This window comes from Homo sapiens, chromosome 13 (genome assembly GCF_000001405.40).
Source record: "Homo sapiens chromosome 13, GRCh38.p14 Primary Assembly".
NCBI classification, from domain to species: domain Eukaryota; kingdom Metazoa; phylum Chordata; class Mammalia; order Primates; family Hominidae; genus Homo; species Homo sapiens.
This window is the reverse complement of record NC_000013.11, coordinates 49,036,527-49,053,536: the sequence shown is the minus strand read 5'-3', so window position 1 is coordinate 49,053,536 and position 17,010 is coordinate 49,036,527. Positions and strand designations below refer to the sequence as shown.

General features: G+C 38.4%; 1 protein-coding gene and 1 pseudogene across 5 annotated transcripts in view; one reads left to right on the top strand and one right to left on the bottom strand.

The window, feature by feature from the left end:
* The window catches only part of FNDC3A (fibronectin type III domain containing 3A), a 234,489-nt gene that overhangs the window by 156,243 nt on the left and 61,236 nt on the right, over positions 1 to 17,010 (bottom strand). The window lies entirely within an intron of this gene.
* On the top strand, positions 6,659 to 8,848 carry RAD17P2 (RAD17 pseudogene 2; annotated as a pseudogene).

Genomic DNA, 17,010 nt, shown 5'->3' with positions numbered 1-17,010 from the left:
GCCTCACATGTACTGACTGATGTCTCATGTCTCCCTAAAACATGGAAAACCATGCTATAACCAAACCACCTTGGGCTCATGTTCACAGGACATCCTGAGGCTGTGTCATGAGTCATGATCTGTAACCCTAATGAAATAAATTTCTAAACTGTTTGAGACCTGTTTCAGGATTAACATGGCAAATAGGAGGCAGAACTAGCTTGCAGCTCCCACTCAGACAGAACAGTATGTGGAGACTCATGTCATAAACTTTTGCTTCAAGAACTACCACAGAAACATACTAAGAAAGCCGGGAGAATCCACAGACCCTCTAAAGCAACTGTATCACCACTGCAGGCTCCCCAAAATGCCGAAAAACTGTGAGTCTGCTTGCTTTCTGAATGGGGAGGCTCATGATCTGGGGCAAGTACTCAGCCCTAGTCACTAGCTGCCTAGAAATAGACTCGGTGCTGTTGGGGAGTTACAGTTGGAATGAGACTGGCCTTCAGGACTGCGGCCGAGTGGGAGCAGGGTGAGGCCTGTGAGTGCCGGCTTTCCCAGACTTCCCTGGTGACCTGTATGACTCAGTAGAGGCAGCTGTAAACCCCCTGGGAATATAACTTCATTGGACTGGGAACCACACCCTCATCTCCCACAGCAGCCACAGCAAGCCCTGCCCAAGGAGAGGCTAAGCTCGGACATACCTATCCCTGCTCCCACCTGGTGGTCTTTTTCCACCTGCCCTGGTAGCTGAAGACAATGGTCGTAATCTCTCAGGAGCTCTATGGCCCTGTCCACCACCTGAGACACCTGAAAACTTAACCAGGTGTCCCTAGGGCAAGTTTGCATCCTCCCTATAGGACCACAGCTGATGCACTCTTGAAAGTGCCACCTCCTGGCTGTAGGCCAACCAACACAAAACCAGCACACTAAACAAAAACACAACCAAAGACCTTCACAGAGTCCACTTTACTCCCCTGTTACCTCCAACGGAGCAGGTGCTGGTATCCACAGCTGCAAGATCTGAAGATGGATCATATCACAGGACTCTGCAGACACTCCCCAGTACCAGTCTGGAGCCCAGTACCTCCACTGAGTGGCTAGACCCAGAAGGTCAAAAAAAAAAGTTCAGCTCTCAGGAAGCCCCATTCATAAGACAACAGGGAGAATACCACATCAAAGGGAGGACCCCATGGGACAAAAGAATCTGAACAGCAACTCTTGAATCTCAGATCTTCCCTCTGACATAGTCTACCCCAATGGGAAGGAACCAGGAAAAATTCTGGTAACATGACAAAACAAGATTCTTTAACATCCCCAAAAGATCATACCAGCTCACCAGCAATGGATGCAAACCAAGACAAAAGCTCTGCATTGCCAGAAAAAGAATTCAGAAGGTAGATTATTAAGCAAATCAAGGAGGCATCAGAGAAGGGTGAAGTCCAACTTAAAGACATCAAAAACATGATACAGGATATGAAAGAAAAATTCTTCAGTGAAATAGATAGCATAAATATGAATAAAAAACAATAAAAACTTCTGGAAATCAAGGACACACTCAGAGAAATGCAAAATGCACTGGAAAGTCTCAGCAATAGAATCAAACAAGCAGAAGAAAGAACTTCAGAGCCTGAAGACAAGGCTTTTGAATTAACCCAATCCATCAAAGACAAAGAAAAAAGAATTTAAAAATATGAACAAAGCCTCCAAGAAGTTTGGGACTATGTTAAACGTACAAAGCTAAGAATAATTGGTGTTCCCAAAGAAGAAGAGAAACCTAAAAGTTTGGAAAACGTATTTGAGGGGATAGTCAAGGAAAACTTCTCCAGCCTTGCTAGAGATCTAGACAACCAAATACAAGAAGTACAAAGAGCACTGGGAAATTCATCACAAAAAGATTATCGTCTAAGCACATAGTCATCAACTCATCTAATGCCAAGACAAAGGAAAGAATCTTAAGAGCTGTGAGGCAAAAGCATCAGGTAACCTGTAAAAGGAAAACTTATCAGATTAACAGCAGATTTCTCAGCAGAATCCCTACAAGCTACAAGGGGTTGAGGTCCTATTTTAGCCTCCTTAAACAAAACAATTATCAGTCATGAATTTTGTATCCAGTAAAACTAAGTTTCATAAATGAAGGAAAGACACAGCCTTTTCCAGACAAACAAATGCTGAGAGAATTCATTCATTACCAAGCCAGCACTACAAGAACTGCTAAAAGGAGCTCTAAATCTTGAAACAAATCCGCAAAATACACCAAAATAGAACCTCCTTAAAGCATAAGGTTCACAGGACCCTATATAACAATAACACAATGAAAAAACAAAACAAAACAAAACAAAAACCCAAGATATTCAGGCAACAAATAGTGCAATGAAGAGAACAGTATCTCACATCTCAATACTATCATTGAATGTAAATGGCCTAAGTGCTCCACTTAAAAGATACAGAATGGCAGAATAGATAAGAATTTACCAACCAAGTTTCTGCTGTCTTCAGGAGACTCACCTAACATGTAAGGACTAACATAAACTTAAGGTAAAGGGGCTGAAAAAGACATTCCATGCAAATGTACACCAAAAGTAGGAGTAGGAGCAGCTATCCTTGTATCAGACAAAACAAACTTCAAAGCAACAGCAGTTAAAAAAAGACAAAGAGAGACATTATATAATGATAAAAGGACTACTCCAAAAGGAAAACATCACAATTCTAAATATATATGCACCTAACACTGGAGCCCCCACATTTATAAAACAATTACTACTGGACCTAAGAAATGAGATAGACGGCAACACAGTAATAGTGGAGAACTTTAATACTCCACTGACAGCATTAGACAGATCATCAAGACAGAAAGTCAACAAAGAAACAATGGACTTAAATTATACCCTACAACAAATGGACTTAACAGGTATTTACAGAACATTCTACCCAACAACTGCAGAATATACATTCTGTTCATCAGCATATGGAACATTCTTCAAGATGGACCATATGATAGGACACAAAACAAGTTTCAGTAAATTTAAGAAAATCGAAATTATACCAAGTACTCTCTCAGACCACAGTGGAATAAAATCAGAAATCAACTCCAAAAGGAATACTCAAAAGCATGCAAATACATGGAAATTAAATAACCTGCTCCTGAATGATCACTGGGTCAAAAATGAAATCAAGATGGAAATTAAAAACTTCTTTGAACTGAATGATAATAGTGACACAACCTATCAAAACCTCTGGGATACAGCAAAAGCAACACTAAGAGGAAAGTTCATCATATTAAATATCTACATCAAAAAGTCTGAAAGAGTACAAACAGACAATCTAAGTAAGTTCACACCTCATGGAACTGGAAAAACAAGAACAATCCAGATCCAAACTCAGAAGAAAAGAAATAACGAACATCAGAGTGGAACTAAATGAAATGGAAACAAACAAAAAAAATACAAAACATAAATGAAACAAAAAGCTGGTTCTTTGAAAAGATAAATAAAACTGATAGACCATTAGTGAGATTAACCAAGAAAAGAAGAGAGAAGGCTGTTCGCCGTGGCTCACGCCTATAATCTCAGCACTTTGGGAGGCCAAGAGGGGTGGATCACCTGAGGTCAGGAGTTCACGACCAGCCTGGCCAACATGGTGAAACCCTGTCTCTACTAAAAAAACAAAAATTAGCCGGGCATAGTGGCACATGCCTGTAAACTCAGCTACTCAGGAGGCCAAGGCAGATGAATCGCTTGAACATGGGAGGCAGAGGATGCAGTGAGCTGAGATCACGCCACTGCACTCCAACCTGAGCAACAGAGCAAGACTCCATCTCAAAAAAAGAAAAAAGAAAAAAGAAAAGAAAAGAAGAGAAGAGAGAAGATCCAAATAAGCTCAACTAGAAACACAACAGGAGCTATTACTACTGATACCACAGACATACAAAAGATTATTCAAGGCTACTATGAACACCTTTATGTGTATAAATTAGAAAACCTAGAGGAGATGGATAAATTCCTGGAAATATACAGCCTCCTAGATTAAACCAGGAAGATGAAGAATCTCTGAACAGACCAATAACAGGAAGAGAGGCTGAATTGGTAATGAAAAAAACTGCAAACAAAAAAAAAGGCCAGGACCAGATGGATTCACAGCTGAATTCTATCAGACATTCAAAGAAGAATTGGTACCAATCCTACTGACATGATTCCAAAAGAAAGAGAAAGGGGGAATCCTCCTGAAATCATTCTATGAAGCCAGTATCACCCTAATACCAAAACCAGGGAAGGACGAAACAAAAAAAGAAAACTACAGACCAATATCCCTGATAAACACAGAGACAAAAATTCTCAACAAAATACTAGCTAAACAAATCCAACATCATATTAAAAAGATAATCCACCATGATGAAGTGGGTGTCATACCAGGGATGCAGGGATGGCTTAACATACATAAGTCAATAAATGTGATACACCACATAAAATTAAAAACAAAAATCACATGATTATCTCAATAGATGCAAAAAAAGCATTTGACAAAATCCAGCACCCCTTTATGATTAAGACAGCAAAATCAGCATAGAAGGGACATACCTTAAGGTAATAAAAACCATCTATGACAAACCCACAGCCAACATTATACTGAACAAGAAAAAGTTGAAAGCATTCCCCCTGAGAACTGGAACGAGACAAGAACACCCACTTTTACCACTTCTATTCAGTGAATATTGGAAGTCCTAGCCAGAGCAATCAGACAAGAGAAAGAAATAAAGGGCATCCAAATTGGTGAAGAGGAAGTCAAAATGTTGTTGTTTGCTGATGATATGATCATATACCTAGAAAACCCTAATGACTCATCCAAAAAGCTCCTAGAACTGTAGATGAATTCAGCAAAATTTCAGGATACAAAATTAATATACACAAATCAGTAGGTCTGCTATAAACCAACAGCAACCAAGCGGAGAATCAAATCAAGAACTCAACTTCTTTCACAATAGCTGCAAAAATATAAAACACTTAGGAGTATACCTAACCAAGGAGGTGAAAGACGTCTACAAGAAAAGCTATAAAACACTGCTGAAAGAAATCACAGATGACACAAATAGAAACACATCCCATGCTCACGAATTAATATTAATTCATTAATATTACTATATAGAATATTGGGTAGAATTAATATTGTGAAAATGACCATACAGCCAATAGCAATCTACAAATTCAATGCAATTCCCATCAAAATACCACCATCATTCTTCACAGAACTTAAAAAAAAATCCTAAAATTCATACAGAACCAAAAGAGAGCCCACATAGCCAAAGCAAGACTATGCAAAAAGAACAAATCTGGGAAACTTCACATTACCCGATTTCAAACTATATTATAAAGTCACCAAAACAGCATGGTACTGGTATAAAAACAGGCACACAGATCATTGGAGTAGAATAGAAAACCCAGAAATAAAGCCAAATACAGCCAACTAATCTTCAAGAAAGCAAACAAAAATGTAAAGTGGGGAAATGACATCCTATTCAACAAATAGTGTTGGAATAATTGGCAAGCCACATGTAGAAGAATGGAACTGGATCCTCATCTCTCACTTTATACAGAAATCAGCTCAAGATAAATCGAAGTCTTAAATCTAAGACTTGAAACCATAAAAATTCTAGCAGATAACACTGAGAAAAAAACCCTTCTAGACATTGGCTTAAGCAAAGACTTCATGACCAAGAACCCAAAAGCAAATGCAATAAAAATAAGGGTTAATAGATGGGACTTAATTAAACTAAAAAGTTTCAGCACAGCAAAAGAAATAATCCACAGAGTTAGCAGACAACCCACAGAGTGGGAGAAAATCTTCACAAGCTATACATCCGACAAAGGACTATATCCAGAATCTACAAAGAACTCAAACAAATCAGCAAGAAAAAAACAAACAATCCCATCAAAAAGTGGGCTAAGGACATGAACAGACAATTCTCAAAGATATACAAATAGCCAAAAAGCCTATGGAAAAATGCTCAACATCACTAATGATCAGAGAAATGCGAATTAAAACCACAATGCAATACCAACTGACTCCAGCAAGAATGGCCATAACAAAAAAATCAAAAAATAATAGATGCTTTTACACTGTTGGTGGGAATGTAAACTGGTATACCTACTATGGCATGGAAAACAGCATGGAGATCCCCTAAAGAACTAAAAGTAAATCTGCTGTTTGATCTAGCAACTCCACTACTAGGTATCTACCCAGTGGAAAGGAAGTCATTGTACAAAAAAGATACCTGCACATGCATGTTTATAGCAGCACAATTCGCAACTGCAAAAATATGTAACCAGCCCAAATGTCCATCAATCAATGAGTGAATAAAGAAAATGTGGCATATATACACCATGGAATACTACTCAGGCATTAAAAAAAAAAAAATAATGGCACTTGCAGCAACCTGGATGGAACTGGAGACTATTATTCTAAGTGAAGTAACTCAGGAATGGAAAAGCAAACATATGTTTGGTTTAAGGCATAAGAATGATATATTGGATTTTGGGGACTCAGGGGACTGGATGGGGGGAGGTGAGGGATAAAAGACTACACATTGGGTACAGTGTACACTGCTCGGATGATGGGTGCACCACAATCTTAGAAATTACCATTAAAGAACGTATTCATGTAAGCAAACACCAACTGTTTCCCAAAAACCTACTGAAATAAAAAAAAAACTTTTTAACTTTTTAAAAAGAGACTTTCCTTAGATACTTTTTGGTTTACATTCCACAAAGGCGGAAGACTGGGTAGACTCATTATGTGATGATTTTTCAGAGAACAGTGAGAACACTATTACTACACCATTAGGTGTGAATCACTCATGTTATACAAGAAAAAAATGTTAGAAAGTAATAGATTTCCACATAGAAAAAAAGTTATCTTCCTTAGAACAGATTTAAGCTCTAAAAAATTTAAAAGAATATCTGTCTGAAAATGAATCATGGGTGTATAAATATAAACCAGAAACTCTGCATGAACTTGATGTGCAGAAGATAACTGAAGTTGAAACATGGATAAAAGTTCAAGTCTTAGAAAGGCAACCCAAACAGGGTATATCTATTTTATTCATAACAAGTCCTTTTAGATGTGGAAAGACAATTAGTATAAAAATACTATCAAAGAAGCATGGTATTCAAGTACAAGAGTGGATTGATTAATCCAGTTTTAACAGACTTCCAAAAAGATTGTTTCAAGATGTTTAATCCTGAATCAAGCTGCCTTATATTTCCCTAACAGTCTTAGATCTCAGTTTACAAAGAGTTGTTACTAAGGGCAACAAAGCATCGCAAGCTACAAATGCTTGGAAATGATCTGAGGACTGATAAGAACATAATTTTGGTTGAAGATTTATCTGATTAGTTCTGTTGAGATTCTGATACTTTACATGAAGTTCTAAGAAAGAATGTGCAGACTGCCCGATGTCCTCTTACATTTATAGTTTCTGACAGTCTCAATGGAAATAATCAAAGGTTATTGTTTCCCAGAGTAATTCAAGAAGAGTGTTCTATCTCAAATATTAGCTTCAACCCTGTGGCAACAACAATTATGATAAAATTTCTTAATTGAATACTGACTTTAGATGGTAACAAGAATGAAGGAAAAAGTATTGTCCCTGATAAAAACTTCTCTAGAATTGCTCTGTCAAGGATGTATCTAAAGTGTAAGAAACAGCCTCCAGTTTTCTCCTTCAAAAGAAAAGGACAATTTATTTGACAACGAAAAAAAAAAAAAAAAAAAGGACTGTCATTAAAATCAGATGCTATGCTGTCAAAATCAAAACAAAGAAAACATCCTGACAGGGTTTTTGAAAATCAAGAGGTCCAAGCTATTGGTGGCAAAGTTGTTTCTCTGTTTCTCTTCAGAGCTTTAGGAAAAAATGTATTGTAGAAGAGCATCCTTAACAGAACTAGACTCACCTTTGTTGCCTTCTCATTTAAGAGAGTATGGTATGGGATATATTACTTGTTCAAACTGAGGAAGTAGTAGAAATGTCACACATGCCAGGAGGGTTATTTATTTAATTTATATCTTCACCAAAACTACAGGGATTTTTTTTTAATGAAAGTAGATATCTTGGCTGGGTGTGGTGGCTCACACCTGCAATCCCAGCACTTTGGGAGGCTGAGGCAGGAGTATCCTTGAGGTCAGGAGTTTGAGACCAACCTGGGCAACATGGTGAAACCCCATCCCTACTAAAAATACAAAAATTAGCTGGCCGTGGTGGCACGCACTTGTAGTCCCAGCTACTCGGGAGACTGAGGCAGAAGAATTGCTTGAACCTGGGAGACAGAGGTTGCAGTTAGTCGAGATGGTACCACTACACTCGAGCATGAGTGACAGAGTGAGATTCCATTAAAAAAGAAGGAAAGGAAAGGGAAAGGGAAAGGAAAGGGAAAGGGAAAGGGAAAGAAAAAAGGAAAGGGAAAGGCAAAGGGAAAGGGAAAGGAAAGGGAAAGGGAAAGGAAAAGGGAAAGGGAAAGGAAAAGGGAAAGGAAAGGGAAAGGAGAAATCTTATGAGAGCCAGTGAATTTCTGAGTTTTGCAGATATCCCCATTTGTGAAAAGAATACATGCTCTTTACTCAGGGTAGTACATCTACAGCTATGAAAGATGTGATACATTTCAACAAATCTTGAGGGTTTGCTCATTGCCAAGAACAATCAAGTTTTTGAACCTTGCACAAACCCCAGTAGTTTCTAACACACAAAAAGTATTGAAAAAATGGCCTGGCAACAAAAGCACTTTTCCTGACTTCTGCCTACCAGCTTTATGTCTCCAAACTTAGCTATTGCTATATCTTGTTCTGTTAACCATTCAAATGAGAAATCAAGCTCAGATTTTTCTTTCTTTTTTTTTTTTGAGACAGAGTCTCACTTTGTCGCCCAGGCTGGAGCGCAGTGACACGATCTCAGCTTACTGCAACCTCTGCCTGCCAGGTTCAAGTGATTCTCCTGCTTCAGCCTCCTGAGTAGCTGGGACTACAGGCACGTGCCACCACACCTGGCTAATTTTTGTATTTTTAGTAGAGACAGGGTTTTACCATGTTGGTCAGGCTGGTCTCAAACCCCTCACCTTGTGATCCACCTGCCTCGGCCTCCCAAAGTGTTAGGATTACAGGCGTGAGCCACCACGCCCGGCCTCAGACTTCTTTCATCCAAGACATTGGAAAGCTCCCTCTGGAGCAACACTTTGGAAGACTGAAAATGGAAGCCCTACCTTATGGGGAGCATGGAATAATAGACTCTGACAGCAGAGAGGAGGCACAGCTTAATGGAGGACAGCTTGTAGAGGAAGCTCTGGGTGAACTCACTCAAACCACTGAACCCAAAACCTGGTATCTTTGAGTCAGAATAGTGAGAATGAATTACCTGCCAACCAGCCTCAGCCCTTTTCATCCCAAGGAGACACGGAAGAAGACATGACAACAGAAGACTATGAGAATGATGAGATATGGAAACCAGTCTGCTAATTAGAATGCAACTTAAGGGATTCATTTTACTTTTATTCAGTGGTTTTTGAAAAGAGTTAATATGCTTTTCTGGTAAACTACAAACAATTTGTTAATTCTTCATTCTTACAGTATTTCATTACAAAGAACTGACTCTTCTGTCACATAGATGTAGATGATCAAGTCTTCAGGTCATCTCTTCATTTTTTCTACAGTATTTATTTAATCTTTTGAGTTGCTGAAGGAGAGGGGTCAATGTATATGAAGTATGCTTGATCATTATGCTGAATATTAGAAAATGTGAAGGAATAATCCAGAATACAAAAAGTTTATGGGGGGTTGTAAATATAAATTATAAAGCATTGTACAATGCAATCATTAGTATAAATAAACCTTAAGACTTAGAAAAAAAAATGGCCAAAGTTTTGCTTACTTAAAAAAACAGAAAATCAAATTGAATTAAAAAAATTACAAGGATCATATTCCAATTACACTATCATGACAGCATGTTTTAATACTTATCTCTGTAATTAACAGAACAAGGAGACAAAATATTAAAGGATACAGAATATCAGAACAACATTATCAATTAGTTTGACCTAAATGGTCTCGGAAAGAACACTGCACCTAACAATTTAAATCTATACTTTCATTTTAAGCACATAAAGAAGTGGAGCAAAAAAATTTAAGAATGGGCCACATAGAACAGCACAAATCAAGTTTCACAAATTTCAAAGAAATTAGTATTAACTGTCTTCAATGTACACAAAAGTTAAAAATAAAATAATTTTTTAACAGCTTAAAAATATGTTTGCAGGATGGGTCCAGTGGCTCACGCCTGTAATTCCAACACTTTGGGAGCCAAGATGGGAGGATACCTTGAGCCCAGGAGTTCAAGACCAGCCTAAGCAACACAGTAAGACCCTGTCTCTACAAAATATTAAAAAAAAAAAAAAAACTGGCTGGGTGTGGTGGCACACATTTATAGTCCCAGCTACTTGGGAGGCTGAGGTGGGAGGATTCTTTGAGCCCAGGAGGTCAAGGCTGAAGTGAGCCTTGATTGTACCACTGCATTCCAGTCTTGGTGACAGAATGAGACCCTGGCTCTCAAAAAACAAAAACAGAAAATGTCTGTAAAAGTTTCAATAATTCATAAGTCAAAGAAGAAATTATAATGAAAAATAGAAAAGGAACAGAAACGAACTGTAACCAAAACATTCTACAGTAAGACCTTAGGATGCAGACAACACTGTATTTATCAAAAAATACAGACCTCTAAATACTTACAACAACAATTAATTTTTTTTTGAGACAGGGTCTCTGTTGCCTAGGCTGGAGTACAGTGGCACAATCGCAGCTCACTGCAGTCTCAACATCTCTGACTCAAGCAATCCTCCCACCTCAGCCACCCAAGTATTACAGCTGGGACCACAGGCATGCAGCACCATACCTCATTATTTTTTTCTATTTTTTGACAGGGTCTCACTATCTTGCCTAGGCTGGTCTTAAATTTCTGGGCTCTAGCGATCCTCTCACCTTGGCCTCCCAAAGTGCTGGCATTACAGGTATGAGCCACTGTACCCAGCTGAAAATTAGTATGTTAAGTGTCCAACTCAGTAAGAAAAGGCATAGCTAATCCAACGAAAATAAAAGGAAGGAAACAAAAATATGAGCAGAAATAGCGAATCAGAAAATAAAGAAATGCTGGAAGATGATAAAATAGTTGTAAGAGTAATCAGAGTCACCAAAGATAACAAAGAGTAATCAAAGATAACCAGGAGAAAAAATACAAGAAAAAAAGTACTTACCTTTTCCAGCCTGGGGTTTTTCGTCCCAAGGACATACTCAAATCTTGGAGATTTGATGCAAGTAGATGGCTTTACAATGGATTTTATAAATATCTTTCTATTGATATATAAGTTGTATTTAGGGGAATATTAAAATTATGGCTCTTCTCCCAAGATCTTCATAAGGCTGGCTCCTTTTTACTCCCATATCTCAGATGTCATCTCCTCAGGAAGACGCTCCCTGACGACCAAATTGTAGGGTATATATACCCCTCACATATATTTTATTTTTTATCTAGTACTCATCACTATCTGAAATTATTTTGTGCAATTATTTGGTTTTATATTGAGTGGTTTCCACTCCACTAGAATAAAAGCTCACTATGAAACCAAACACTTCAACTTGTCTTATAAAATTCCACACCTTAGAGCCTGGCTGATAATAGGTTTTCTTTTTCTTTTCTTTTTTTTTTTTTTTTTGAGACAGAGTCTCGCTTTGTTGTTGCCCAGGCTGGGGTGCAGTGGCATGATCTTGGCTCATTGCAACCTCCGCATCCTGGGTTCAAGCAAATCTCCTGCCTTACCCTCCCGAGTAGCTGGGATTACAGGTGCCCACCACCACGCCCAGCCAATTTTAGTAGTTTTAGTAGACATGGGGTTTTGCCATGTTGGCCAGGCTGGTCTCAAACTCCTGACCTCAGGTGATCTGCCCGCCTCAGCCTCCCAAAGTGTTGGGATTACAGGCGTGAGCCACTGTGCCTAGCCAATAATAGGTTTTCAATAAACTTTCGTTCAATGAATAAACAACTGAAGAGTGGGGACTAGGAAGGGTGTGGAACTGATTAATTCATTCAACAATCAGTTACTAAGGTCTTGTAACGTGAGGTTTTGTGCTAGATAATTGGGATAGAGTAGTAAACAAAATAGACAAAACTAACCGCCTTCATGGTATGGCAGAGAAAGAGTCATAGGATTCAAGTTAGGCCACTGAGTAAATATCAACTGAAATAGTTATTTTAGGGAATTATTAAAAGACTAAATAGAAAATATGAGATTAGAAGAAATTAACATACACAGATGTATGTGTAGTATGTACTTTCGCCAACATGCCAGATTAAACCAGGGCTACTTTGGAATAAAGGTCCCTGTCTAAATGCTACGCCCACTCACAGGTTTCTGGCAAATAATCAAACTTTTGGCCAGCTCCAAAATGCAGGACTCATATATCTTCAAATTATCTGGATTCCTATGCTATTTTACATTCATCTGCCACAAATGCAGTGGAATTTTCCATAATCTCATTATAATAGTACAATATGATGAGCGGAGGGAAGAGTGAAAGAAGAACTACAAATTATAAACTAGTTATATTACCTGAGATAAAATATGTCAAAAAAACTGTTTCCAGAATAATCATAAATGAAATGACTACAAAAATCCTGTAAACCAAGTAACTCTTATAAGTGTGACAGGTGAGGAACCCTGGTAAATTATCCATCATTCTGTGATTCTTATCATTGATGTCTCTATTTGCACAGGGGTATATTACAGAGCACCTTTTACAAATATACTATCATAAAGTGGTTATAAAGTACTTTATTAGACTTTTAAAAACTAAATCCTTCAATATCTTTAAATTTCATAGAAACAAATAACCATACTCTTAAGTTTGCACTTATCTCAGATGCACTGCTGATCTTCCAACTCCCAACTATTTTAAAGATCAGAGTTCAGATCTGACAGTTTCATTACACCATTTGTAAAAATTCTGCACTATGTTTCTCTCCTCAGTTTCTTTCACTTCTTTCATTTCTAGCAATAGATTTGGTGGCATTTTGAAGACCTTGCTCTACTGGTGTGATACCTAGGAGTTTTCCTTTGCCATCCGTAAGTGCAAATGGTGGGAACTTCTAATATCTGGGTTGAGTTATTAGTGCCGATAATGGGTGAGTAGGCAATTGATAAAAATTATTGTCTGAATATATGCCAACAGTCCAACTTTAAGCATCTTAAACAGAGATAAATAGAATTAGTGAGCATTTTTAGTGTATCCTGAATTTACTTATTCAGTACTACTAATAATTACATTACTTCTTGAATAACAGATAAACATATGCTTAAAACATGTCTTTGGTAAGGCGGCTACTACCAAAGGGCAGATAAGAATTTATCATGACTGCAAATAATGCCATACCATGTAGACCTTTAAGTTATTCTTACAAGTGTCCTACGATGACATATGAAAATATGTACACAAAACTGTCACATTAAAAAATAACAGGGCCAGCACGGTGGCTCACGCCTGTAATCCCAGTACTTTGGGAGGCTGAGGCAGGCAGATCACCTGAGGTCAGGAGTTCAAGACCAGCCTGGCCAACATGATGAAACCTAGTCTTTACCAAAATTACAAAATTAGCGGGGTATGGTGGCGCATGCCTGTAATCCCAGCTACATGGGAGGCTGAAGCAGGAGGATCGCTTGAATCCGGGAGGCGAAGGTTGCAGTGAGCCGAGATTGCGCCATTGCACTCCAGCCTGGGCAAAAAGAGCGAAACTCCGTCTCAGAAAAAACAAAAAACAAAAAACAAAAACAGAAAAAGTATGATAATGAAAAGTCACTGATTAAAGTTATAAATATGCCCAGTATATATGTTAGTTAAAACTACAAAAATACAGCAAAATATGACTAAAATTTAATGCTCACTGCAATTCTTAATAAACGATAAAAAAGATACGATGGCTTGGAGAAGTTACAGAAGAGGATAGATAAGATTTAAGAGGTTCATATATAAAATTATTTACTTGGGGGAGAAAACTAAGTTTCAAAAAAGCAGGACAGCAGCAAAAGATATCTCTGGAGTGAGGAAGGACAAAGGAGCATTGATACCAGAGACAAGCAAGCCTGACGGGAACCTCTAAACAAACAGAGCCTACAGCTTGGGAAAAGTTAGAGCTAAGTGATGTCTGAGATACCATTTAGTACAATCCAGATTTTAAAAAATAAATTAACAGAAAATTATTGGTATTATTCAAAAGATTGGTATTATAGAAAAGATTATACCTATGCATAAATTATACCTTACTAACTTTGAAAAATATTAGTTTACATTCCAATGGTAATACACAATTCCTTGGTCCCCTACTTCAATTTTACTTAATATCTATCAGTCTAAGTTTCTTACATACAAAAGAGAACAGGAAAAATAACATTACATCTGACCCGCAGCACCACCAAAATCTATCAGATGAGAAGATGTGCACCAGATGGAAGGGATGATGTCTTAGAATTGTCCTGGGACTTTTTCAAAATACTGTATATGTATTCAGGTCCCTCTCTGGAGGGTGAAGAATCTGTATTTTTCCCCTAACTTCTTGTTCACCTATATTTTTGCAAAAAAAAATCTACAAAACCAAATTACAGAAAAAAATTAAAGAAAAATGTTTATGAATGGCATCAATTTTACAGATATAAGTTAACTTTCTCGCCTTATCCCAAAAGGAACATGACTTGCATTCTTCACAAACATTGTTAGGTCTGAGAACAACAAAGTAAACATCTCACATCTCTACTTCTAAAACTTGGTGAAGGATTTAGTAGATACAGTAAGAAAATCAACCCAGAATTCAAAAACATATATTCATGTTCCCAATATTTACAAATAAATTATCTTGGCTACCATATTAATTTGCTAGGTTTGCCATAAAAAAGAACCACAGAAATTTATTTTCTCACAATTTTGAAGGCTAGAGGTCTCAAAGCAAGGTGTTGGCAAGATTGTTTTCCTCCGTAGTCTTTCTCCATGACGTGTAGATGGCATCTTCTCCCCGTGTCTTCCCTCTGTATGTGTCTATGTCCTAATTTCCTGTTCTTATAAGGAAACCAGCCATATTGGATTAGGGCTCACCCTCTCTTTAGAGGGGGAAAATGATATGGACAGGAGACAGGGAAATAGTGGGTAGAAGAGGGCAGTTCCTTGGCAAAGGCCCCACCCTCAAGCCTGGATACCTGTGGCCCTAAGTGAGAACAGGCATTCCTGTTTTCATGCCCAAAAAGTTGTCTTTTGACCCACCGCACCCCCTATCCTGTACCCATATAAATCCCAAACCCAGGCTCCAGAAGGAGATGAGCAGACAAACGGCAGAACGTGTCACAGAGAAGGAGCGCCTGAACACCAAGAGTTCAGTGGGGACAATCAGAGAAGAGATCGGCCGCTGGATGGCCAAACTCCAGGGGAAGATAATCTTCCCACTTGGTCCCCTTCCAGCTCCCCATCCATCCTGCTGAGAGCCACTTCTACCACTCAATAAAGCCCCCACATTCACTCTTCAAGTCCTTATTCTTCCTGGACTCTGCACAAGAACCTGGGTGCCAAGAAGGCACTTAAGCCATCTGTGGACGGCAAAACTAAGAGTGCACTGTAGAATGCCCACTTGGGCTTTGGGAGTCACAGGCACCCATCTGTAGACACTATCATGGGGCCAGAGCACAAAGTGCTTGCTCTGGCTCCTGCACCTGCCCATCTGCGAGTTCCCGCTCCCATAAGGGGTTTGAGCTCTCAGTGGCTGAACAGAGAGGCATGCCTCTGTTGCATGTACTGTGAGGGGGGTGAGGCCAGGGAACTCTCCCGTTTCACCCTATCTCCAAATACAGTTACATTCTGAGGTACTGAAGATACTGAAGGTGAGGACTTCAACATATCAATTTTGGGTTGTGGCAGGGGGTAGGGGGTGGACATGACAATTCCTCCCATAACAACCCCCAAGTTACAGAAAGCACATAAATATTTGGAATGCCTAATCCTTCTATCTCCTCCTTATCCAACTGCTCCTTTACGTTTGCTGGTGGTTGATAGCAATAATAAAGGAGAAAATCCTCTGTGCCTTGTATCCTTGAATGACAGTTAATAACATACATTTAGCAATGGTTAGCTAAGCCAAACCATTCATTCCTCCAACCCATGGTTAAAGGCCTTCAAATTACTTCAGCATTCATGGGGTTCTTGTGATGATTAAATGAGTTAACATATAATAAGTGCATAGAACAGTGACTGGCATATAGTAAGCACTATCTATGCACATATTCGCTGTTACTGTAAGTGCTGTATGAGTAGCTCTTAGTAGTATTATTTTTTATCAATATAGATCTTTCAATTTAAGGACTTGCCTCTAGCCTAGCCAAGTGGACGCACATGAAAGAGAATATACCTAGAACACAATGCTTATGAGATTTCTCCTCAACTGGTCCAGGATCTGCATACTCTTTACTTTTCATATTTTCCTATACTGATCCTTTAGCTTTCCAGATATCCATCTGTTCTACTCCTTTCAGTGTAGTGTTCTAATGGTCAATAGCCTCACCTTCATTTTCTGGTCTGTGACTTACTTACTATTCTTTGGCATGACAATTAGTTCAGACTTGATTTCTGCTAATATTTTCCTAACAGGGCTTCTCAACCACTATGACTGTGAACATAGAATTTCTTCTTCAGAAAACTCTACTCATCCTTCAAGATTCTGCCATCCTAAAGCAAAGTTAGATTATTCCCATTCTAAGGTTCAAAGCACTCTGTACATCCTTCTATTATGACACTTAGCACTAAATTGTATTTAGTTGTTTACATGATGTCACCTCCACTACAACACAAGCCTTTCATAAGACTTCAATCTGTTTTTACAGTTACAGAGACTAGAGTGGTACATTTAGACATCGATCTGTTTTTATAGTTACAGAGACCACAGTAAATTTACAAAAACATAGGTTGAACAAA